Source organism: Homo sapiens, chromosome 22 (assembly GCF_000001405.40).
Source record: "Homo sapiens chromosome 22, GRCh38.p14 Primary Assembly".
In the NCBI taxonomy this organism is placed as follows: Eukaryota; Metazoa; Chordata; class Mammalia; order Primates; family Hominidae; genus Homo; species Homo sapiens.
Window position 1 is genome coordinate 22,797,983 of NC_000022.11, and position 25,352 is coordinate 22,823,334.

General features: G+C 47.1%; 1 long non-coding RNA gene, 1 other non-coding gene, 3 gene segments (V, D, J or C) and 1 further gene; 5 read left to right on the plus strand and 1 right to left on the minus strand.

Annotated features, from left to right (window-relative positions):
• The window catches only part of IGL (immunoglobulin lambda locus), an 896,838-nt gene that overhangs the window by 771,907 nt on the left and 99,579 nt on the right, over positions 1–25,352 (plus strand).
• IGLV3-10 (immunoglobulin lambda variable 3-10) lies at positions 13,800–14,299 on the plus strand. The segment is given in 2 exon segments: positions 13,800–13,845; positions 13,999–14,299. Coding segments are annotated over 2 exon segments (347 nt in total).
• On the plus strand, positions 21,143–21,770 carry IGLV3-9 (immunoglobulin lambda variable 3-9). The segment is given in 2 exon segments: positions 21,143–21,188; positions 21,475–21,770. Coding segments are annotated over 2 exon segments (342 nt in total).
• LOC105372948 (uncharacterized) overlaps positions 22,999–25,352 on the minus strand; it is a 63,619-nt gene continuing 61,265 nt past the window's right edge. For both annotated transcript variants that reach the window (XR_938047.2, XR_001755438.2), the window contains exon 4: positions 22,999–23,654. This is a non-coding gene — a long non-coding RNA (uncharacterized LOC105372948). The remainder of the gene's footprint in view (positions 23,655–25,352) is intronic.
• MIR650 (microRNA 650) lies at positions 24,794–24,889 on the plus strand. The gene has a single exon (NR_030755.1). It is a non-coding gene; the product is annotated as a microRNA 650 (primary transcript).
• On the plus strand, positions 24,839–25,307 carry IGLV2-8 (immunoglobulin lambda variable 2-8). The segment is given in 2 exon segments: positions 24,839–24,884; positions 25,000–25,307. Coding segments are annotated over 2 exon segments (354 nt in total).

A 25,352-nucleotide genomic window follows, 5' to 3' on the forward strand; every position in this document is an offset into this window, starting at 1 on the left:
TGAGCCAAGATCGCACCACTGCACTCCAGCCTGGGCGACAGAGCGAGACTCCGTCTCAAGAAAAAACCTAACAAACACCCGTGACGATGAAGAGAAAATAGAAGAAAAAATCACATGACTGTCTCAACAGTCAGATCAAATGTTTTCTTTCAAGGAAACATTTTTGTTGGTTGTTTTTTCTAGTCTTGTTAGAGCATCACGCATGATAAGATTTGTGGTACAGAAGTTAGAGGGGATGTTGTTCCATGCAAAATATCTGAATATCCCATACCCAACTCTTCGGTTACTTACTGATAAATGCTAAAAGGTTACAATTTTGTATTTTCAAATATTCTGGTGGCCAGAAACCTCTTCCTTGACAAGTCTGGAGTACAGGTATCTGACTCCAGATGATTAGAATTTAGGCAGGTATTGTGTGAGCAGTGAGGTCACACACAGGAAACGTTCCAGTCAAAGAGAAAAACAGACGGAGGCTGAAACACAGAGATCATATGTCTGAGAAATAAGGAAATTCCATACTAATGGGAGCTGAGTGAGAACAAGATATGAACCATCTATTTCTCTCTGAATATCTCATTGGGATCTTGTCCCTTTCCCAGCATACCACTCATGTGGATTTTAAAATTGTCTGCTCTTAAAACATTTCTTGCACATCATTAGAGAGTCCAGCACTGGAATCAAGCTCAGTTTGATGAGACCAGGGCAGTTAAGCACCAAACCCAGGTGTTCTTAGAAGGGCTTGTAGAAGACAAAGGTGTGTTGTCAAAAGCAGAGAAAGTGAGACTTTCCATTGTGGTTTAAACCACAGCTTCTGGAATTTCATTGGGCACACAAATCCCCTGAGGATTCTGGTTAAGATACAGCTGTGCCCTCAGCACATCTGGGTATGGCCCCAGATTCTCCATGTCTAGCAGCTTCCAGGTGAGGCTGATGCTGCTGGTCCTCCAAGGACATTTTGAGTGGCTTAGCTCCTATTCACCCTCCTCACGCAGGCACAGGTAAGACTCACCTAATGAAGAAACCTGAGAAGCACAGGTGAACTCTCCCTCCCCTCCTGGTGTCTTAGTACCTTTTGTGTTGCTATAAAGGAATACCTGAAGCTGGATAGTTTGTAAAGAAAAAAAAGGGTTTATTGGGGTCATGCTTCTGATGGCTGGAAAGATCAAGATTGGGTATCTGCGTCTAGTGAGGGCCTCAGGCTGTCTCCACTCATGATAGAAGGTGAAGGGAAGCCGGTCTGTGCAGAGATCACTGGGAGAGAGAAAGCAAGCTTTTTTTCCTAACAAAGCTGCAGGGATGTAATTGAGTCATATTCATAAAGTGCTCAATACAGGGCGTAACATATTCAAGTGCTCCTTAGTGGACAGCAATTATTACTGACCTTGCTCATGAAAATTAGACCTCAGATGGAGGAAAGGCAGTGCCGAGGGTTTTAGATTGTTCGAAATAAGAGAGATTAAAATGATTTAAAATAGAGGCCCAGGAGCTGAGGCAAGCATCCCCAGGTGTTCTCCTGCCAACTCCCCCCCATGTCTCAGAAGCTGTTTTCAGGCAAGTCAGCCAGGGAGGAAAGTGGGGGAGTTTGTAGAACCAAGGATTGCAACTTCATCCATGAGGAGGAGGTGTAGCCAGCCAGGTGGGGAGAGGCTGCTAAGCTCATCTGAAGGCTGTTGAAGGCTTTCTGGCCCCATGGTCCTGGGCCATCCCTCCCTGCCCAGGGCCGCATTCCTCAGCTGACAGCCACAACCTTGAGAGAGGCCTGTGAGTCTGATCAGAAATCCTGCCAGGGCCCCGAGGGGGCAGGCATGGAAGGGAGGTGTCTAAGGTCACAGGAGACACTATTTGCTGCCTGTGGGGCTGGGACAGGCTCCTTGAGAGGAAATTCGGGCACTGTACGGGAGGAAAACACAGGACAGGGAGGCCTCTCCCCAAAGGATTGTGATGATAGAGACCAAAGCATCTGCAAAGAGCCCAGCCCTACAGGGGATTCTCTGAACACAGCATTCCTCGGGGCGTCTGTGTTATTTTGCCAGGGTTACCATAATAAAGTAGCACAGACTGGATGCTCAGAGAAAAGAAATGTCTTCTCCACTAATCTGTAGGTGATGTTAGAATCTGAGATCAAGGTGTTGGCAGGGTTGGTTTCTTCTGAGGCTGAGCGAGGGCCTGTTCTGTGCATCTCCCTGGCTTCAGGTGCTTCTGGAAGGATGTGCTGTTCCCTGAATTACAGACAAACACCCCAATCTCTGCCTCCATGTTCATATGGCATTTTCCCTATGTGTGTCTCTGACCATGTTTCCTCGGTTTTTTGTTTGTTTGTTTTTTGCTGTTGTTGTTTTGTTTTGAGATCGAATCTCGCTCTGTCGCCCAGGCTGGAGTGCAGTGGCATGACCTTGGCTCACTGCAACCTCTGCCTCCCAGGTTCAAGTGATTCTCCTGCCTCAGCCTCCCAAGTAGCTGGGATTACAGATGCCTGCCACCACCTTCAGCTAATTTTCATATTTTTAGTAAAGATGGGGTTTCATCAGGTTGGCCAGGTTGGTCTCGAATTCCTGACCTCAGGTGATCCACCTGCCTCAGCCTCCCAAAGTGCTGGGATTACAAGCCTGAGCCACTGCATTCAGCCATTTCCCCCTTTTATAACAACACCGCTCCTGTTGGATTGGGAGCCCACTCTACTTCAGTATGATGTCATGTTAACCCATTACATCTGTAACCACCCCATTCCCATATAAGATCCCATTTTGAGGTTCTGGGGCTGAGGACTTCAATATCAATTCGGCGGGGGGGAGCCTACAATGTAAATTTGTAACATTGTCTCTGTCATGGGCCAGCTGTCAATATTCCCTGAATATCCAGGATCCACCCATGCTCTCTGGCCATCACCAGAGTGAGCAAATCCCTGACACATGGATAAGAGTTGCTTCCATGGGCTCCCAGCCAGGCTGGAAATTCTTGATTCATGGAATCAAGAATCTTTCTCCAGTGGGTGGGGCTAAATGCAGCTGCCTCCCTGACAGTCTCCCTGGGACACTAGGCTTATCAGCTTTTCTCCTAAAGCTGCAGGTCCTGACTGTCCTGAGCCCCAGCTCTGCTGTGGTCTTTGCATCTTAAGATCTTATTCAACTCGCTTTTGTGCCTCAGTGGACTGACTTACAGGAAAACAGTGGGAGATGCCCCTGCTCTCTCTCCCCAGGGTCTCCTCCCCTCAGTGGCACAAGACCTGCCCTATTGACTGGCAGTCCCCCCATGCCCATCTCAACCTCCACACTGCCCACTGTGCACGGTCACAGGTCACAAACTGATTGTTCACTTTGGGCAGATCACCTTGACAGTTTCTGCAGAACTGGGTGCTTCTTCCCAGAATCAGGAATTTACAAACAAGGCCAGTTCTAGAGATGCAACTGGGAGAGTAATGTGCATCACAGCGAATCTGGACAAGACAAAGTGGTTTTGCTGTAGTTCTCCTGGAACACATTCTGGTGATGTGTCCATCTCCCAGGATAGTCTTAGCAAGTTACATCCAATGCTGCATCAGGACCCACAAGAAAAGGAACTGGCCTGCATGAGTGGCCGGCAGGGTCCTGGGAGGAGACCCTGAGATGCCCAGTGACAGGAGGAGTGGATTCTTAGGTTGGTAAGCGTGTGGAGGAACTGCGAGTGATGTGCTCAGCCAGGTACAGGAGCAGGCGTATTGGTGACCTGTGGCCTCATCTTATCTCAGTTGTCTCTTTAGACCAAACTCCAGGAAATCAGCACATAGAGACTTCTGTCTGTCTCCGAGATCATCGCAGGACTTCACACGTCTTTTCTATTTATAATACAACATCATGTTGTGATTGAATTACTTTCATCACAGCCTCAACAGTCCTAGGTCTGAAAACTAATACATATACTTAGAATATTAATTAAGGAATACTTTCTTGTCAATTATGTTTATTAAATTAAAAGACTTCAGTATCTAGTGTTACAGCTGTCCTAATTCAACAGCCTTGACCTTCTTAGAAATAAAATCCTGATCCCAAATTTTTCTGGGGATATGACTGGCACAAGGAGCCAAGCAGACATCTGGATGTCCCAGTGTCACTGCTGACATGTGCTTTTTTGTTATCTGTCATGGGGTGAACAGAGGAAGTGTCCCTACCTCTGTCCACAGAACCCATCAAAGACAGTGCACCTGATTAAAGAAGAGAGGGTTGTGATCAGAGGGGTCCGGGGTCCTGGGATGAGGTGGGAGGAGGAGACTCATGGGAAGAAAGGAAGCAGGGCAGGAAGAAGCTGAAGTTCAGGCTCTGAGGTGCATCTCCTGCATGGAATCTTGACTCCACTCACTTCTGTCATTGTGTAATCTTTCAATGTTGGTTCTGTCATCAGTAAACTTGAGGAGAGGTTATGCCATAAGCATAGGGCTGAGGAAGGGTTATTATAAATATCCAGTCATGGTTGTGCCTATAAAACACTCACCAAAGACTCTGAATATATTAAGGTCTCATAAGTAGTTGTTTTGCATAATCTAGTGATACATGGAGGATGGCATTCCTCCTGTGGACAGCAGGAGGCACTGTGGGTGTATTGTTTGGGGATGCTAATAGCTCCAAGTCCCCCAGTAGAGCTCACGTGCAAAGGGTGTGACTGATGTTTCCTTTCAGGTCCAGTCTTTTTGAGTACAATCCACTCTCCACTCCTGACACCCACTTGGCCCTTCTCCTGCCTTTGAGAAATGACTACCCTGAGGCCATCAGCTCCAGGGCTCAGCTATGAGCTCAGACAGACACGCTTGGGAATAGAGAACAGATTTGGATTCAATGCTCCTTCCTTCTTGAGCTTCAAGAAGAGGATAAGATAGGAGCTGGTTGTGTCCAGGCTCCACTGGGCAGCCTCGATCAGAGCTCTCGGAAGTGCCTCCCACCACGGCCTGTGTCTCCTTCTACCTCCTGCCCTTCATATTCTCCACAGGTTGGAGCATCCAGAGAATTCAGGGAAACCCTTTCACTGCTATTTCCCCCCAGCACTGGTCCTCAGTGGCATTCTTTCCAGTTCTCCTGTGCATTCAGCATCATTCATGAAATTATATGTTTCCAGGTCTCTGTGCTCTGTCTGTGCTGACCCAGCCCCCGTCTGCATCTGCCTGGCTGTGAGCCTCAGCCAAGGTCACCTACACCAGTGAATAGTATCAACAGAGACCAAGGAGGTCCCCCTAGTGTATAATGGAGGTTAAGAGTAATGGCAGCAACAGCAAGGGGAACAGGATCCCCAGTCACTTATTGGGCTCCAGCCCTGGGGCTGAATGCTACTTAATTATCTTCAACCTCCAATCTGAGGATGAGGCCGAGTATCACTGTGGAGAGAGCCACATGTTTGATGGTGAGGATGGGTGAGCCACAGTGACACAGACCAAGAAGTGAGGCCAAAACATACCCCCTCCCCTTCCTCTTCAAGGACTGAGAGTGAGAAGCCCTATGTCATCTCCATTGACCCTGAGAATGTTGACTCTCCCCCTTTCAAATTTCATCATCCCAGATGTCCTCCCTCAAGACACCCTTAGGCAGAGGCAGATGCAGGCCATGATTGAGGCCATTTTGATAAGTCATCAATCTGTTTCCACCACACCAGCCTGTGGGGACTACACTGGGAGAGACCAGAACAGCCCAGGCAGGAAAACGGCCCTGAGAGAGGGGTCGGGCTGAGATGACTGCATCCAGTGAGTGCCATTGCACCCTGCACCCCTGCCTCAGGGGACTGTCATGGGGCTCTGCCTGAGGAGGCAACATGGATCTTGACATGTCCCCAGCCATTTATGAGAACTGTAGTTGTGTGCATCCTCATTAACACTCAATATTATTGTCAGTTTTTGTTTAAAGCCACTCTAATAGATCTGTAGCGATTCTTATTAATTTTTTAACTTGTATTTTCTTAGCAACATCAGGCTGAGCATCTTTTCAGGTGCTTGTTATCTGTATATCTTCTTTGGTGAAAAGCTTAATCAAATCTTGGTCTATTTTTAAAATTCACTTTTCCCCATATTCCCCTTCATGCAGTATTTTTCAAAAATGGTGAATAAATGAAAGTTTTGCTGACATTTAAAAACTCACAGAATTGTTCACCACCAGACTGTTGCTATTAGAAGGGTAAAGGATATCCCTAGACAGAAGGAAAGTGATGTCACATTGAAATGTGAATTTACACAAAAAAGTGAAAACATCAGGCTGGGCCCAGTGGCTCATGTCTGTAATTTCAGCACTTTGGGAGACTGAGGCAGGAGTATTGCTTGAGCACAGGAGTTTGAGGCTGATGTGAGGTATGATCATACCACTGCAGTCCAGCCTGGGCAACATATTAAGAATCTGTCTCTATTAAAAAAAAAAAAAGGAAATAAAAAAATTAAATATCAGGTACAGTAACTACATAGATACTTGTGAAAACCTCTGTATTATGTTAATGCCAATAAAATACAGTTCACTGATCAAAGATAAATTAATAAAATACATTGTGATTTATAATGAAAATAAAGGCAAATTATATGACAAAGACAGCACAAAATCTGTGGTGGGTGAAGAACATGTTATCAAGGTCTCATATGGGAATGTGTAACAACTGCAGGTAGATTTTCATAAGATCTCTATATACATAAACCTTAAAGTAGTCATTAAATCAAACCTTTTGATCAAAAAAGAATTAGAGCGAATAAGCTACATTAGGGTTATCCACAGAAACAAAATTGGTAAGATATATATGTGTGTATAACATACATATGTGTATATACACATGCATGTATGTGAGCATATCGAGAGAGAGAGAGAAACTTAAAAGAAGAAATTGGTTCATAGGATTGTCCTGTCTGACAAGGATAAAAATCTCTTGGGCAGGCTGAAGGCTGGAAATGCAGGTAAGAGTTGATGTTGCGTCCTGAGCCTGAATTCAGCAATACAGGACTTAAGAAATCCTCACTCTTTGCTCTAAACACCTAAACACTTTCTTTTTTTTTTTTTTTTTTTTTGTGAGACAGAGTCTCACTCTGTCACCCAGGCTGGGTTACAGTGGTGTGATCTCAGCTCACTGCAATCGCCACCTCCCAGCTTCAAGTGATTCTTGTGCCTCATCCTCCCAGGTAGCTGGGATTACAGGTGTGCACCATCACATCCACCTAATTTTTGTATTTTTAGTAGAGACCGGCTTTCTCCATGATGACCAGGCTGGTCTCGAACTCCTGGCCTCAAGTGATCCTCCTGCCTCCTTGGCCTCCCAAAGTGCTGGGATTACAGGTGTGAGCCACCAGGCCTGGCCTGCTCTATACACTTTCTACTCATGAATGAGGCCCACCGCATTGTGATGAGTAATCTGCTTATACAAAGTCTACTGAGTTAAATGTGAGTCACATCTGGAAAATATCTTCACATAAACTTCTATGTTTGTACTGGACAAAATCAACCTGGAACCACATCCTAGTCAATGTGCCACTTAAAATTAACCATCACTTAAGCCGGCATGAAGATAGAAAGGAACCATTTTTTAAAGCAATCAAAAACAGAGACAGAGAAAGGGAAAGAAAAACAAGGAACATATCCATAGATTGTATTTTTTAAGTCACTTTTTGAGGTTTTCTGTTGTTTTCCTGTTTTCTATTTCATTGATATTTGGCTCTTAACTATATTAATACCTTTTCTCTATTTAAATTGAATTTCAATGCTCTCCTTTTCCTTAGATTTATGAGGTAGAACCTTAGTTTATTTTAGATCTTGCTTCTTTCCACTGCCAAACATTCAATCCAATAGATTTATTTAAAACTACTTACTTATATCTATTTTTTAAATTTTAATACATTTGTTTTTGTGTTTTAAAAGTTCAGTATTTTCTAATTTTGTTGTGATTTTTTTCTTTGACTTATGAAATATGTAGTTTTATCTTCTTTCATTTCCAAAAAATTGAAGATTTACCACAGTTCATCATGTATCAATTCCATTTAATTAGTTAATTCTGCATTAAATCATACCTTGCATGAGCTTCATATTTTCAAATTTGTTAACATTTGTTTTGTGGCCTAGAATAGGAAGTATCATGAAAAATGTTCCCTGTGTATTTGAAATAGCAATGTTTATTCTGCTGCTGTGGGTATAGTTTTCTACGAATTCAATTAGCCTAAGTTGGCTAATAGTTCAAATATATATTCTTACTGTTTTTTTGTGTATTTATTTTGTAGGTCTGTGAGAGAGAGCTATTGAAATGAACAACACTAATTGTAGAATTTCCCATTGCTTCTTTTGAGAGAGGAAAATTTCCAGTCATGGTTCTTAATACTTTATTCTCCTGACAAAAGGTCACCTATGATTTTCCAACACTAATCAAGGAAAAAAAAAAGGCAGAGTTAAAGCCACACTCATGGATGCCACGGGAGCAGTGGGTGACCACATGATGTCCCTCCACTGGTTCAGTAGATTTAGCGAGACATTATATTTTGGCTTTTAAAAATCATAAATCTGGCTAAGACATCCATGAACAAATTTGAAGACATACACATTGAATAAAATATGAAAATTAAAAGAAAGGTAACTGCATACGTAAAACATTGCTATCACAGCACCTGACTCATGGGAAATGGATAAAAAGTATTATAAATTCAATTACATTTACTTACACATTAAACAAATATGAATTTAAACCAGTTCACTAAACTGTCTCATATACTGTTTAGGTGATGGAGATTTATTGGTGCACAAAAAAGACAAGAATACCTGCTCTCAGAGTGGCATCATGGAAGATGGTGGAGTACGAAGCTCCAGCAAATGGTCCCTCCTGTGAAATTACTTGAAGTGGCAAGAGTCATGACATTAACTCTCATAAAACAACAGAATCTTGTCCCACATTTGCAGTATTCAGGGATGTGCCGATGAAGGGAGAGACATAAAATAATCTCTGTCAGGTCAATTTCTGGCCATGGAAATAATTGAACAGAAACTGCATGGATCACTCTGACAAGGAAGCTGGTCCTTACCAAAATATTTTGGAAATGTCACCACGCAATTGAATAACAGCACCTTTCAGCAAGCAACATCAGCCAAGGCAGAGAAGAGAGACAATCTGATTTCGAGAGTGACAATATCATAACATCCAAAATACCCAGATCTCAAGAAAAGTTTACAAAGCAGACAAACATAAAAGAAAGCAAGACCCACTAAAAGGAAAGAAATAAATCAACTGAATGCATTCCTCAGGAAGCACAGGCATTGCACGTGCTACACAAACACTTCAAATGAACTGCCCGTATATGCTCAAAAAGCAAAAGGACTCCATGGAAACAGAACTAAAGGAAAGCAGGGAAATGATGTTTGAACAAGCATGAAATATCAATAATGACAAGTTTTATAAAGGAACCAAGCAGAAATACTGAAACTGCAAAGTTCAATAGCTGAAATCAAAATCTCACCAGAGGAGTTAAGTAGTGGTGTGAGCAGACAGAAGAATAATCGGTGAACTTGAAGATACATCATTGAAATTCCACAGGATGAGCATAAATTTTTTTAGAAAAGAATAAATGAACAAAGCCTAAGAGACATATGAGACAACATCAAGCATATCAATATTGCTTTATGGGAGTTTCAGAAAGAGAAGAAAAACAGGAAAGGAAAAATAAAATACATAAAGAAAAATAGCTCAAAACTTCTAAGTTTGATGAAAGATTAGAATCTATACTTTCGAGGAGCTCAATAAACTCCAAGCAAGTTAAACTGAAGTCTGCAGTGAGACACATTCTGATCAAAGCATCAAAAGCCAAATACAAAAGGAAAAGTGTAAATAGTAACAAAAGGAGAGTTGGGGTAGCTAAAGCAATTTCAGACAATATAGGCTTCAAGTTAAAAATGCTTACAAGAGACAAAGAAAGGCGTTATAATTGATGAAATAACCAACTAGTCAAGAAGACAGAATAATTATGCACCAAGGGATAGCACTTCAAAGTACATAAAGGAAGACCAATTTGAAAAAAAAAATATGTAGATCTATAATATAACTTGGAGACTTCACTTCTCCACTTTTACTGACCACCTAGGCCGGGCATGGTGGCTCACGCCTGTAATCCCAGCACTTTGGGAGGCTGAGGCGGGTGGATCATGAGGTTAAGAGATCGAGACCATCCTGGCTAACACAGTGAAACCCCGTCTCTACTAAAAATACAAAAAAAAAAAAATTAGCTGGGCATGGTGGTGGGTGCCTGTAGTCCCAGCTACTCGGGAGGCTGAGGCAGGAGAATGGCATGGACCCAGGAGGCGGAGCCTGCAGTGAGCAGAGATCACACCACTGCACTCCAGCCTGGGCAACAGAGCAAGACTCCATCTCCAAAAAAAAAAAAAAAAAAAAAAAAGATAATAAGAGAAGAGACACAAATAAGTAAAATCAGAAATTTGGGACAATAGTACAAAGCTTATGGAAATTTAAATTATAATAGAAGAACACACAAGCAATTGTATGCCAAATCTTAGAAGATATGGACAAATTCATAGTAAACACAGATTGCCAATCTGACTCAAGAAAAAAGAGAAAAAAATCAACAGAAATATAGAAAATAAGGGATGTAAATCAGCAATGGAAACTTCCGAAAAAAGAAAAACTCAAAACCAGATGGCCTCACTGGTAATTCTGCTAAATGTAAAAAGGAGTTGATATCAACCATAATCAATCTCTTCCCAAAACAGATTAAGAGGAAGTACTTCCCAGCACATTCGAAGACCCTAGCATTAGCCTGACACCAAAGGCAAACAAGGATAGTATTTTAAAAAAACTAAACTAAAGGCTAATATTCCTTAAGAATGAGCATGCAAAAATCCTCAACAAAATAAAAGCAAACCAAATCCAACGTTAAGTTAAGGGGAATAAAGGATTTCAAAGATGGTTCTACATAAGAACATGAATCAACGTAATATATATTAACAGAGTGACAGAAAAAGTGTATGATCATCTGAGTAGATGCAGAAAAAGTGTTTCACAAAATTCACATTTTCCTGATTAAAAAAAAAACACACACTCAGCAAACTCGGAATAGAAGGAAACTTCTACAAACTAATAAAGGACCTTTATCTAAAGCCACAGTGTACATCACATTAAATGGTGGAAGAGTAAAAGCTTCCCTACTAAGATCAGGGACAAAACAAGGACTCCTGCCTCCACAACTACTATTTGACATTGTACAGAAGTTTTAGTCAAAGCTCTTAGGCAAAGAAAGAAATAATAGGTATCTAGAATGGAAATGAAGGAGTAAAATCATCCCTATTTGCACAGAACCCGATTCTAAACGTACAATATCCCAAAGAATACACGCACAGAAAAACTAACAAAGTGAATAAACACATTGAACCAAGTTTCAAGGTACAGGAACAACTGGACTTGCCACAACTTTTCTTTGTTATCCTGGGCATTAGTTCTCTTGGCCTCAATTTTATCTTTAAAACTGGGAGGCTTATACTGCAGTTGAGAAAAAGACACAAAAAGAACCTGTTAGTTAAAGATGGAATAAGTGAATCTCAGAGGGTGGACACAGGTTGGTGAGGTCCTGTCCATCTCTGGGGGCATTTTTCTGGAGTGTGGGAAAGCATGTTCCCAGATGTGTTAGCAAGATACTCGCAATTTTCTCAAAACAACAGACAAGGATAGTGTAGAAATCCTCCCACCACAAATTGTGAACAGTGTGTGATGAAATAAAAATAACAGTCATAGAAAAAGATGGCGATGATGATGATAATGACTTAAGTACACAACTAAGGTTTAGTGATAGAAACATCAGGTGTTCCCAAATTCAATGCAGCTTTTCTTATAAAATGGGGGCACCAGTCTTAGTTCCCATATATTTAGGAATTGAGGGTCCCCATGAGGTGTCGCTGCATTTCTCTGGGCTTTTATGTTTATCACAGAAGAGCTACAGCTTACCCTGCACTCTCCAGCCCGCAATCAAAAATCATGGACCAAAGAACAACATTTCAGCACAAGACTCCATTATGGGAATTGAATCTGCCCACCCTCCCGAAACCATATACACCTTTCTGTGCTGACATGAGAAAACCACAGTGGATCACACTGGCTCAAAGTGAGGCTGGACTCCTTTGTCCCCAACCTCCCAGATGACAGGTGCTGTGGGGTCACCCGGAGGAGAAAAGCTCTCCTAGGCTCAGTCTTGTCCACCAGCAGGGGGCAGCAGAGCTGCAGCCAGGAGCAGCCAGAGGCTGGGGCTGCCCAGGTGGAGCCTAAGGGGTAGGCAGCCCTGGGAGGTCTACAGGTGTCCAAGGTTCAGTCCTAGGATTGGAAGTCAGGACAGTCCATCCTATTGCTTCTGGTTACAGCGACCATGTTCTGAGGGTCAGACTCAAACAGCATCACCCAGGACACCGACAGGAGCCGGGGCACAATGAGAGCCTCACCTGGGAAATGCAGCCGGAGGCACCTGGGCCCAGATGTCAGCCTGGGCAGCTCCCACAGTGCTGGAATTCCCTGGAAGATGCCCCAAGGTTGAGGTGCTCTAGGAGGGGGCCCAGTGGGAGAGGATGGGGCTCCCAGGGCTCAAGTCCTTCACCCAGGATGGCCATCTGAGCATCCTGCCACTCTCGGGGCCTCGCCCCTCCCTCTCCAGCAGTGTCCTGGGGAGCTGAACCCTGTCCCAGGCACTTCCAGGGACGCCTGACCCCTCCTCCCTCTGCCTCTCCTTCCAGCTCGAGACTGACTCTGACTCATGGGGCAGCTCCTGTGCGCAGGGGAGTCTCAGGTGGGTGGGGCGGCACATTCAGGGCCCCGGTTCCTGGGTGGGGCTTCCCGGGCCTCCTAGAGGAGATGCTCTCCAGAGGGAAGGGGGTTCTCACCTGATTCAGGCCAGAGCTCTGACCACAAGGCTGTCCTTGGCTCAGTGACAAGAGTCTGCTGCATTGCAGAGACCAGGGACCACCCACCATCCAGAGCTCACACTCTGTGCAAAGGCTGTGTCCCTGGGATATTTGCAGAGACCACCAGGCCTAAAGTTGAATTTCCCATCAATATTTCATGTAAACTTGTAAAAAGCACCAGAAAAACACACTGGACTGAGAACCCCGATGCTTTTCTGGGGCCTTTTACAAGTTTACACAAAATACTCATAGGAAAAAATAAATAAATAATGGAAGAGCTGAGGATGGCAATGGCTGATCTATGTGGGGATGGGGGATGGCCTAAAAGGAGCGGCACCATGGCTGAAATGAGAGCAGACGTCCAGATGATGCCACAAGGGTGTGTGGTTGCGTAAATGAACCACCTACTCCTACTGAAATAATTAACAAGTATCCTGACGACACAGTACGTTATTTAGATGAAATGACCAGGATGGGACTAAGTAATGCTGGGGGACCCAGAGAGGAGGGGGAATATGGTGGGTTCTTGGTCCACCTGCTGCTGAGTCAGGTTTCATCAATGATCTCTCAGCAGGGCCAAACTCAGCCCCAAGCCAGGTTTCTAGAAGGCCCGCAGCCCTGCTGAGCCTGGCCCAGGACAGACCACAGGTCAGAGAGGTTTGGGACAGTGGTCATATGGCCAGTCCCCAGGAAGGTGACTGTGATCACAGGCCTCAGAGGTCGAGGCTAATTTTCTGACCAAAGACCCAACTCCTTCTTCAGTCACCTGTGCTGCCCCCACAGCTAGTTTGAGTGACATCTTTCAATGAGGAGTCCCAGAGGATAGAAATTTGCATGAACACCAAGCACTTACTGCCCCATAGGGCCTGGGAAGGAATAAGAGAGGCCTGGGGAGCCCAGCTGTGCTGTGGGCTCAGGAGGCAGAGCTCTGGGAATCTCACCATGGCCTGGACCCCTCTCCTGCTCCCCCTCCTCACTTTCTGCACAGGTGCTTCTCCCAGGCCCTGCCCCAGGCTCAGTGCCCATAGACCCCAAGTTGGCCCTGCCCTGAACCCTGTGCAAAGCCCAGACACAGTCTTAGGGTAGGACCCCTGGGAATGGGCTCTTGATCTTCAAGCCCCCTCTCCTGTTTTCCTTGCAGTCTCTGAGGCCTCCTATGAGCTGACACAGCCACCCTCGGTGTCAGTGTCCCCAGGACAAACGGCCAGGATCACCTGCTCTGGAGATGCATTGCCAAAAAAATATGCTTATTGGTACCAGCAGAAGTCAGGCCAGGCCCCTGTGCTGGTCATCTATGAGGACAGCAAACGACCCTCCGGGATCCCTGAGAGATTCTCTGGCTCCAGCTCAGGGACAATGGCCACCTTGACTATCAGTGGGGCCCAGGTGGAGGATGAAGCTGACTACTACTGTTACTCAACAGACAGCAGTGGTAATCATAGCACAGTGACACTGGCAGATGGGGAAGTGAGACACAAACCCCTTCTTCATCTATTTTACCCTCTCCCTCCAGCCCCAGGACCGCTGTGGACCAACCCATAAGCAGGTCTGGCAGAATTCACCTGGTTAGGAGATCCTTAAGCTGCTTTTCCCTCCACTCCTCTAGGCAGACTTTGCAGGAATGAGTCAGGAGTGGATTTGGGCCTGGCAGGGCCAGACTGCCCTGTGTTTCCTTGCCCACGGTTTGAGTTGTGAATGGAGAGTATGAGTGGAAAGACAGACACAGCGGGACATCCATGCAGGCATGAACAGCCCAGAGCGACAGGGGAAACTTTCAGCTCTCAGTTCAATGCAGTCATTGTTTTATCTCTTGGAAGAAGCATTTCTCCAGTGCAACTAAGACTCTAGACTCACAGAGCCCGAGGTTGTGGGGGAGGACATTAAATTTTGCTCATGGATCACTAAGGACGTTTTTGAGTGGAGCCACTACAATTTATTCATTGATTCCTGGACTCATGGATCCTGACTGTGGGAGAAATAGTACTGCATATTGGGCACTGCTGTACAGCGCATGCCCCATCCTCAAAGTCATTGCCCAACCTTACATGTTTTTGCCATCCTGCTGCCACAGTAACTGAGTCTTCAAGCAGACACTGAGCCATTCATATAAGCCAGATGCCACATTGGTGAAGATGGTAAGACACTTGAATGCCATGAGGATGGGCCCATGGTTGCTGTTTATTTGCTGTGATATGAGTTCCTTGGTCAAAGCCCCCTGTGGAATACCATCATGGTGGGTGAAGCATTCTGTAGTCCAGAGATAAAAGGTTTGGCAGAAGCACTGCAGTCAAAGAAAGCAAATCCCTGTCTATACTAAGTGTGTATTCTGGCAAGAGCAAAGAGCTATCCCTGCCATGAAGGAACAGCTTTAATGAAATTAATATCAACCAGGCATCCTATAGGGATCTTCCTGTTGGTCTTCACTGTTGGCAGATGGTCACTCAGCAGTAGCTACAGCCAGGTCAGCTCTAGTGAGTGGTAGTCCACTTTGATGAGTCCATGGACAGCCTCCTTTTCTGCAACCATAGGGCATTTGTTATTGAGCCAATTGGGCAATGATGGCAGTGGTTGGGGCAGACTGCCAGGTGTCCAGAGAGCCACCCATCCTACCAACCTGTTTAGCAAAATCAATTCCTTCTCATGTCAGACTTCACAAAATATTCACATAGGAGATAAATATTCTCATGCTTTCTGCTTGCTCACACATCTCTCCCTCAGACACAGTTGTGATCAATATTCTGATTGTATTTCCTGTGTCCCTGAACATCCTTGATCATCTTCCAAGTCCCTGAGTCACAGCCCATGAACTAGGAACCTCTGCCCGTCTCTCTTTGCAGATGACATGAACCAGGTACACTGCTCTAAGTTCTGCCTTAAGGAGAGTGTTCCTCCACCACTGCTGTTCAGGGAAGCCCAGAGGCCAGGTGGGATACTAGCACTGTCCACAGCAGGGATGGCTGCATGTCCTGCAGAAACCTCTGTAACCCCAGTCTAAGTGCCTCCTCCTAGGCAGCTGGTCCCAGGGAGCCCCTCAGGAGGCCCAGGCTGTAAGGTGAGAGGATGGCCATGGGGCAGGAGTTGGCCCGTGTCTATCTGGCCACCTCTTCATGCAACTTATTTGTCCTTGTGACCTGATCCATCAGGTCTCAGGTACAGCCCAGCCATGTGATGGGGAGGCCACTATAAATGGCCACCTCGGACTGGGGGTCAGATAACATCCAGCTCATTGGCAGCTTGTGTCCCATGGTGAGCTCTGTGGCCACAGTCACAAAGAGCCCCTGTTGAGGCCCAGGAGCCCCCCCAGTCTTCCTCTAATGGAGCTTTCTGCTCATTTAGAAAAATAACAATGGGGAGGTTGCTCGCCTACCTCAGGTCTAGGGTCACTGGGACCACCTAGACCACATCCATGATCTTGTCTGATTATTCTGATTCCTTGTTGGCTTAGCTATGCATTAGTGTAACCAAGCCACAGTGTCTTAGGCACTAAAATGCCACTACTTGGCCCCTGCCTACCCTGGGGTCCTGTCAACCACATCTTGGTATCCAATTCAGTTTTAGCACCACTAAGAGAAATCTATTTTTATATTGAGAACAGGAAACATTAGTTATTTCTATTGTGGAAATTTTATAAGACAATAGTGTGGAAATGTTTTAAGAGACATTTTACTTAGAGTGAAAGACCTTCCATTAAACCACTCAATAAATTGCTCCATAAATGGCCAGCCCAAACCCTGAGTTCAGACCAGGCACAGCCTCGGTGTTGGGACCTTCTGGGAATGGGTCTCTGTCATCAACCCTTCTCTACCCTCCTGTCTGCACAGCCCTGGGCCTCCTACATGCAGGGACAGCTCCCCTCAGTGTCGGTAGCCCTGGGACAGATGACCATGATCATATGCTCTGGAGATAACCTCGGAATAAACACGCATTTTGGAACAAGCAGAAGCCAAGCCAGACCTCAATGTCGGTCCTCTAGTATAACATCGACCAGCCCTCAGAGACCTCTGCTTAATTTTTAGGCCACAAACTAGCGAACATGGCCACCCTGACCATCAGCAGTGCCCAGGCCAGGGACAAAGCTGACTATTACTGTGCCTCAGATTGTGACAGTGGGGGCAGCTGGCAGGGACTCACAGTGACAAAGACAGATGGGGACTTGCAACAAACTGTCCCACTTCAGCCTGCCTCTCATTCTTACCTGCCCTCTGAGCAGCTGTAGGTCAGGCCTCAGAATCAGGTGTCCTCTCTGGTCCTCACCTGGTCCCTGCAGGGCCGGAGATTCGTAACAGCTTTTCCATACTCTCAGGGCCTACATGTGTTCAATAAAACCTGTACGGGGGAAGCTCGTTGAAGCTGCAAGGACCTTTTACAGGTTTGTAGAACACATGAGAACTTCAGGAATCCATATAGTGTCACATGGCTCCATGTGTAATTACACGTCACACAGGGAAGGAGAGAGCTGTTTCACAGGGTGCAATCCTACTGGAATTCGTCTTTTCCTTGCGTAGAAACAGCTTAGTGGAAGCCGTGTCTCCTCTGGTTTCCTAGATGAGTTGACCCCACATTGTAATGGGGCACCTGAGGCCTAAGGAGGACAGGAGACCCAACCCCTGTGGGCCCCAGGAGCCTTCCTGTCCTGACATTTCACAGAAACTGCAGAGGAAGTGCAGGCCCAACCTTTGGTTCCACCTGGGGACTGTCTTCAGGGAACACTGACCTTTCCCAGTCCCCAAATTCCCAGGACCTGTCTGACCTGACTAGGTGTGCCTCCAGCTCCCTGATAGCTTGGATTTTATCTCTGGGCTCTGGGCTGCTTTCTGAGGAGCTCACTAAGAAGTCCTTGGTGCCAAGTGCAGGACTTGCCCCTCTGCTCCATATCCCGGGTCTGCAGGCACAGGGGACAGGTCCTGCTAGGTGAGGCTGGCACCCTCTTCCAGGAGGGATCTCTCATCCCAGGCCCTAGGGACAGGTTCACTGGGCTTTCTTTTCTCACTTAGAATCTCTTAGTCTTTTTGTTTCCTTCTTTAAGAGTACAACTGCTTTTTGGTGAAATCATGTGTATACATCAAAGTTAACAGACTACTGTCACAAGCGCATATATATACACATCCTCTTCCTAGATGGGGTAACCGTGGACACTCTGCCATAGTCGTCTTTTTGTTTCTCTCTCTCTACCACAAGTGAGACTATTAATAGCACTCTTCTATGCAGACCATAATCATATTCTCCAGTTGCACAAGAACGATTCTTATAGTTGCTCAATTTCCTTGCCTTTCAGGACCCTGAAGTTTCCCATGCCCACATTTGGTTGCCATGTCTCTCTGATCCAACAGTATTCCTTGGAAGCCGAAGCTTATGAAACATTTTGCAAAAAGTTCCACAAGAAAACTCAAGTTCCTTGTGCACAGTTGGACCATGTTCATTGTGTGCAGTAGAACCTCGTTCCAGTGTTGAGTCCATTTTATGTTTTGACCATCAAAGGGAAGGGCATTATGACTTTTGGGGACTGAGTCGATGGAGGAAAGATAGCAGTCGATGATGACCTTATGCACTGATGTGTATGTGGCCAATGTCTATAGATGGATTTGGAACTTGAAGGAGCTGTTCATTCTGCAGATGGAATTTCCAGTGCCGCATCTCCACCACCCAGCCACTAGCACTCGGCAGGTGCTCTGTAAGAGGAAGCCCTTCACTGCCAATCAGCCATTACACAGGTGAAGGTGAGTGAGACTTAATAGCTATTAACCCTCAAAACAAACTGAGGAATAAACTCAGGTTCACAAAGTGACTTTGCGGGAACAGCCTGAGGAAGCAAGTTAATTAGTAGCAGAAGGTTTTGCCCAGAGCAGGAGGAATCACAGGATCACTGAGGACCTAGTGATACCATGGTGTGGAGGTGCTGTGAAGCATGGTGACATTCAAGAAAACCTGTTCTCTACAAACACCTACCTACCCACAGGCACAGCAGACACCCCAGCTATGCCAAGGGCTCTGTCTTCCTCTAGAGTAAGAGCCTGGTAGCAAACAGGTATCCTCTGAAAGGCAGGTGCCCCATCAGTCAGCTCTGCACGACTGAAACAAAAGGAAAATTGCCAGAGAACTTTCCAGAAAACAGTCAACCTGCTTGTGCTGGTGCATTGATGGTGACCCAGGATCAGTGGAAGTAACAGTAGCTTAATTTCCCCATGGCTGCATGATGGACACCGGGAGAGAAGTGTGGAGGCGGATTAACCACCACTCTAAGTGGCTTCAGCCCTAGGTAAGCAGGAACAAGTGAGGGGGCTGAGCCCACTTGTGTCTAATCAGTCCCAGCCTCAGCGACTGCATCCTGGAGACCAACAGGGAGTGTATGCGCTCAGCCCCTCCCAGATTGCTGAGCATAAGCAAGAAATTTCCCTCCGCACACCTGACGCACCACACACCTGCCCCCAGCTCCTCACTTACAAGACAATATCAAATCAGACAGGGACTGGTCTGGGTCCCAGATCCCCTCAGGTTGCCGCTGTCCTCTCAGATCCCCACACACAGCAGACTCTTCCCCTCACACTCCTGTTCCAGGTTACTCTTCTCCAATATGATGGGGGTTTGCTTTCATTGTTTCTGTATTTTTTGTATTTTTATGGGTAAGCTGAGCCCCTTTTACCTGGTCTTGAGTCAGGCAGGGGCCACACAGAGAAGAGGAATTCCTCCCCAGGGGCCAGCAGTCCACGGATCAAGGCATCAGGGACCTGAGCAGTAGGTTCTGTTCCTATGCCTGGACCCAGGAGGCCCATGAGCCTCCAGCAGTCAGTATGGAGCAGCCACCAGGGGGGCAGCAAAGAGTCACCTGGGAAAGCCACCTCGGGATGGGGTGGACCTGGGCATCAGGGAGATGCTGACATGCAGGGAGGGTCAGTGACCACGACCTGACACCTGGAGGGAAAATAGGTCCTTCTTTTTCTAGAGTGTTGTCCTTGACACTGATGTAAAAATTCTAGCATCAAATTTTATCTTCAGCTTTTGTAGATGCTCCTATTTCCCTGACAAAGGTCCAGGCACTTGACTTCCCCACACATCCTCTCCTCACACACCCAGTTGTGCTAAAATGCTGTCCCTGTCACGCACAGTGTCCTTCCTGAGGTGACACGTGTCCCCCTCCCTGCCCTTTGCTCTGGGAGCCCCTGTCCTGTAGACACAGCAGCTTCTTCTTCCCTGGCTGCTCCCCATCTCCACTGTCCCTGGGCTTTCCCATCTGTCTCCTGGGAAAGCTGCCAAATCACAGGTCTCAATTTCCTTGTGAGGCACAAAATAGTTGCTCATTAACCTTCTGTTGACTTAATTAAGTTTTTAATTCCTTGATTTGTTTTCCCCAGCAACTGAAGACAACTTAGTCATAATAAACATTCATTTCCAGGGGTCTTGCAGTTTGCTGACCCCTCTCATTCTCTCATGGAGCAAACATTTTCTTGACCTCCTTATCTGTCATTGGTCCTCACAGCACCCTGGGGACACTGAGGCACAGCATGTACGACCTGCCCTGGAGCTCACAGCCAACGAGGAAACTTACCGCATCCCATGGATCTTCCAACACTCCATGTGCACTTGGCAACCAAGAAATTTTATTCTTCTCTAGCACTGAGGAGCTGTGCCCTGGGGTGGGGTCTGTACCTATCCAAGGCACATGCTGTCACCTGTAGAGTGTGGATAGAGGGTCCTTGCATTAGGTTCTGGAAAGTGTCTTCAAAAACGGATTTAGGCCTACACCCAAAATCTCCTCTCTGGCACAAATTATTCATGATCAGGATACATCTAGAGGCCTAGACCAAAATTCACCACCTCCCTCCTGAGCCAGAATGGAATGGAGGAGGGGACTGGGGACCCCAGATAATTTCCCCATCACCACTGTGACTCTATGGCCACCTCCTGCAACAGTTAGGGATAATCACATAGGAAGGGCTTCATGTATCCTAGGAAAAACACCCAGAGTCACTTATGAGCTCTACCATGACCAAGTGAGCCCAGGAGTCGGGTTGAGCACAGCGTGGTGTGGAGATATCTGCAGAGACCGTGGAACCAGTTTGTAAAGGAGATCCTGTAGGCTGAGGGTGAGAGTGCAAGGCCACTCCTCCCCCTCTCTGCATCCTTTGGGGCTAAGCCCTTCTCTGGAAACCACAAAGCTCCTCCAGTAGCAGCCCTTGACTCTGCTGATTTGCATCACAGGCTGCTCTCTTCAGCAAGGGGATAAGAGAGGGCTGGAAGGAACCTGCCCAGCCTGGGCCTCAGGAAGCAGCATCGGGGGTGCCGCAGCCATGGCCTGGACCGCTCTCCTTCTGAGCCTCCTTGCTCACTTTACAGGTGCTGCCCCCAGTGTCCCAGCCACCTACCCAGCTCCAAGGCTCTGGGTCCAGCCTGGCCTGACAGTGATCTCAGCAGGGCCCTGCCTGTGGTGTGCAGGATGCTCATGATCCTGCTGCAGGGGGAGGGGCTGCTGGAGGTGAAATCCCCCCACACTGTTCTTCTGTGCTCATGGTCCCCTGAGGACACTTCTATTCCTGAAACTCAGGCCAGGCAGGTGGGAAGGCATTGTTGGGTTGAGCCTCTCAGTTTCAAGTCTATTCTATTCTCTCCCCTTTTCTTGCAGGTTCTGTGGCCTCCTATGAGCTGACTCAGCCACTCTCAGTGTCAGTGGCCCTGGGACAGACGGCCAGGATTACCTGTGGGGGAAACAACATTGGAAGTAAAAATGTGCACTGGTACCAGCAGAAGCCAGGCCAGGCCCCTGTGCTGGTCATCTATAGGGATAGCAACCGGCCCTCTGGGATCCCTGAGCGATTCTCTGGCTCCAACTCGGGGAACACGGCCACCCTGACCATCAGCAGAGCCCAAGCCGGGGATGAGGCTGACTATTACTGTCAGGTGTGGGACAGCAGCACTGCACACAGTAACACAGGCAGATGAAGAAGTGAGACACAAACCCTTTCGCCATCTATGTCACCCTCTTTCTCTAATTCAAGGAGGACTATGAACAAAGCCTTACGCAGATCTGGTTAAATTCTCTTTAATCTCTGCCCCCAGCCTGTCCCTCCCTCCAGTCCTTCAGGCGGGGTCTGCAGAAAGTGCATCAGTAGTTCATTTAGGGTGATGTGATCAGGATGGACTGGTGTTTTGGTGACTCAGCTGTGACTTGGGAAAATAGGGCCTGCATGGAAGATCAGACTGAGGTAGACATCCACAGTTGTCTCTGGATTTCCATAGGTGGTGACAGGCCAGTCCTTGCCCCAAATGTCCTAGATCAGTCCCCAGAACTGCCCAGCTCAGGCTCCTGTGGTAGCCTGTCATTCTTTAGAGAAACACCAATGGAGTAGACACTGTGGGATCTGCCCAGATCCCCTGTTCTGAGCTTACCCACTAAGCACTACTGGGAGCTTCTGGCAGGTCAGAGCTGTGTCCTCACTGTAAAGTGCTGTTCGGTGCAGAAAACAGACTCCTCCAGGTCTATGCCCTTTCTCAGTGAGGTTAGATTTCATGACTGCCTGAGGCCGAGTTCTCGACTCTGCCTCAATATAGGAAGACCTGAAAATCCTCCCAGCTCCACAGCTCTCTGTAGGAAAGACTTGAGACCTCAATGAGGGTCAGGGTCTCCTGCCCAGGGTTGCCTCCCTCACCTCCTTTCACATCCTCTGTGCATGCAATTCCTCATCTCAGAGTCTGCTTCCAGGGAACCCAATTAAGATCACCAGCCATCCCCAACATGGGCCATGTGGGACTTCAGGAGGCCACTGTATGCTGGAAAGCACCTGTTTATTCCTAAATTAGCACTGTGAGTATCCACACGCCCAATGAGATCTGAGTGTTTCTTGCATTTGCATGGAATGAGAAGGGAGCCTGACTCGCCAGGTGCTCTGGGGTCTAAGGGAGAGTTGGAGTCAGATCTCCCTGCAGGGAAACCTGGGGCAGGAGGAGCAGCCTTACCCCATGCAGGGACCACAGATGCACCCACAGGGTGAGCTTAAGTATGGACACTGCCTACCTCCACCCTCCACATCCTGTGTAAAAAATCATTCTTTCCACCCCTCCTCCAGCCTATCAAAGTTGACACTTAAAAAGCCACCACAACCCACCCTTGTCAACAGGAAACCCATTCACATCTCCATCAGCCACACAATCTCCACATAAAGATTCTTCAAAAAATAATAACAATAGCCATGCAAAGTATATGATATATATCATAAATAATTGTACTTAGATTATATATGAAAATGATACTCTTTTTGATATGCTAGGTAAATAAAATACATTATTTAAACTCATTGACTTCTTCTCTTTGTATTTATAACATGATGACTAGACAGTGGGATTCCCATGAGGCTCACATCACATTGTGATTGAACAAGGCTGGTCTGCAGGGCTTCAGGTTACAGGGGCTGTGGAGTGACCTGGTGCAGGAAGCCCCGTCTCCATCCATAGGACATCAGTGTGAACCCAGGGAGAGGCGCTGGTATAAGAGAGATGAGAACACAGGTGTGAACCACCTGCTTGTGCAGGGGACTGAGCCTTCACTTTGAGCCAAATAAGTTTTCTTTCCCAAGTTCGATCCTGAACAAGAGGGCTTTCTGGACTTCTTTTTGTTTTCAGGTTTGTGCCCCTTCAGGTTTGGGGCTGTCTGGAGTCCCAGCCAGGGGACAGTGAGGAAATCCAGCAGTCTCACACTGACTCTGTTGTATTTCATCTGCTGGGGCCATCCCAAACTGCTGCGTACCATTTCCTTTCCTGGTGCTCAAATAGCTGCTCCATGCACTTGTCATGGTTTTATAGCTCAATCTAGATGGGAAGACAGGATAGTGTATGTTACAATATTTAAATAGAACCTGAATCCCTTAATAGTTATTTTAATATGGAACATTAAAAGAGTTGCATCATAGGCAATGGGGAAAGATGAAGAAAGATTAAACGCATTTGGAGGAAAAACTAAAAATGTCTTTATTGAATGTCTGTGTGTCTTCAGTGTCGAAGGGTTGAGAGAGGTCAGCTTTAGGTTGTCCTGAGGATGTGCTCAGATGGGGGAAAGTAAGAAAGCCGGAAACGTGCATCTCTGTGACCTGACACATAAATCACAGTAAAATGGAAGTAAATCTTTCAATAAACCTTTCAAGATAACATCACTCTGGTGCACATAGAAAGGCCTGTTAGCAAACTTTCCCTTTTCCCTGCTGGCTCATATCCCCATGGATCACCTGTATGCAGAACGGACTCTGTGGTCTCCATTTATCAGGCTGAGAACCAGAGGCTGGGAAGGACAAGTCACCTGCTCATGAGTGGGAGGGGCAGGATTGGGAGCAGCGGACTCAGGCTCAGGACTGTGGCCCTGGTTGGTGCTCCTTGTTCCCTTCACAGGGTCCCACCCACATGTGCCCGTGTGGATGTGGGTGCACTGCCTGGGGTGGCTGATGTGCTCCAGGGATTTGATGGTGCAGATGCTTCAGGACAAAGCATGGGAGTGGGGATGGGACGAGGCTGCCGCTGGGCAGACCAGGGACCAACGCCACCCAGCAGAGGCTTCCAGTGGGGTTGGGCAGCCCCATTTCCTGAGAATAGAGAGAACCTGGCAATGAGTGCCAGAAAGAGGTTACTTCGAGGTGTGCCCAGGCCTGGAGGGTCACAGAGACACAGGCACCACACAGCAGAGACACTGAGGGCCAAGAGCTCACTCAGGTGAGGGGCTTCAGCAGATTTTTCTCTCCTGAGCAAATCACGTGCAAAGAAATCAACTTCCTGTCATCAGAATAGACAATCAGGGACTTTAGTCTCCTTGGCTGAGCCCCGCTGTCAAGGGAAGCAGAAGTCTCTAAGCCCAGGCCCAAGTGAGGGTGGGGTGAGAAGAGGAGCTCAGGATGCAGATTTGCATGGAGGTCCCGCCCTTCTCTGAGGCAGAGGGGATAAGACAGGGCTGGGGGCAGGCCCAGTGCTGGGGTCTCAGGAGGCAGCGCTCTCAGGACGTCACCACCATGGCCTGGGCTCTGCTCCTCCTCACCCTCCTCACTCAGGGCACAGGTGATGCCTCCAGGGAAGGGGCCACAGGGACCTCTGGGCTGATCCTTGGTCTCCTGCTCCTCAGGCTCACCTGGGCCCAGCACTGACTCACTAGACTGTGTTTCTCCCTTTCCAGGGTCCTGGGCCCAGTCTGCCCTGACTCAGCCTCCCTCCGCGTCCGGGTCTCCTGGACAGTCAGTCACCATCTCCTGCACTGGAACCAGCAGTGACGTTGGTGGTTATAACTATGTCTCCTGGTACCAACAGCACCCAGGCAAAGCCCCCAAACTCATGATTTATGAGGTCAGTAAGCGGCCCTCAGGGGTCCCTGATCGCTTCTCTGGCTCCAAGTCTGGCAACACGGCCTCCCTGACCGTCTCTGGGCTCCAGGCTGAGGATGAGGCTGATTATTACTGCAGCTCATATGCAGGCAGCAACAATTTCCACAGTGTTTTAAGTCAATGAGGAAGTAAGATCAAAACCTGCCCT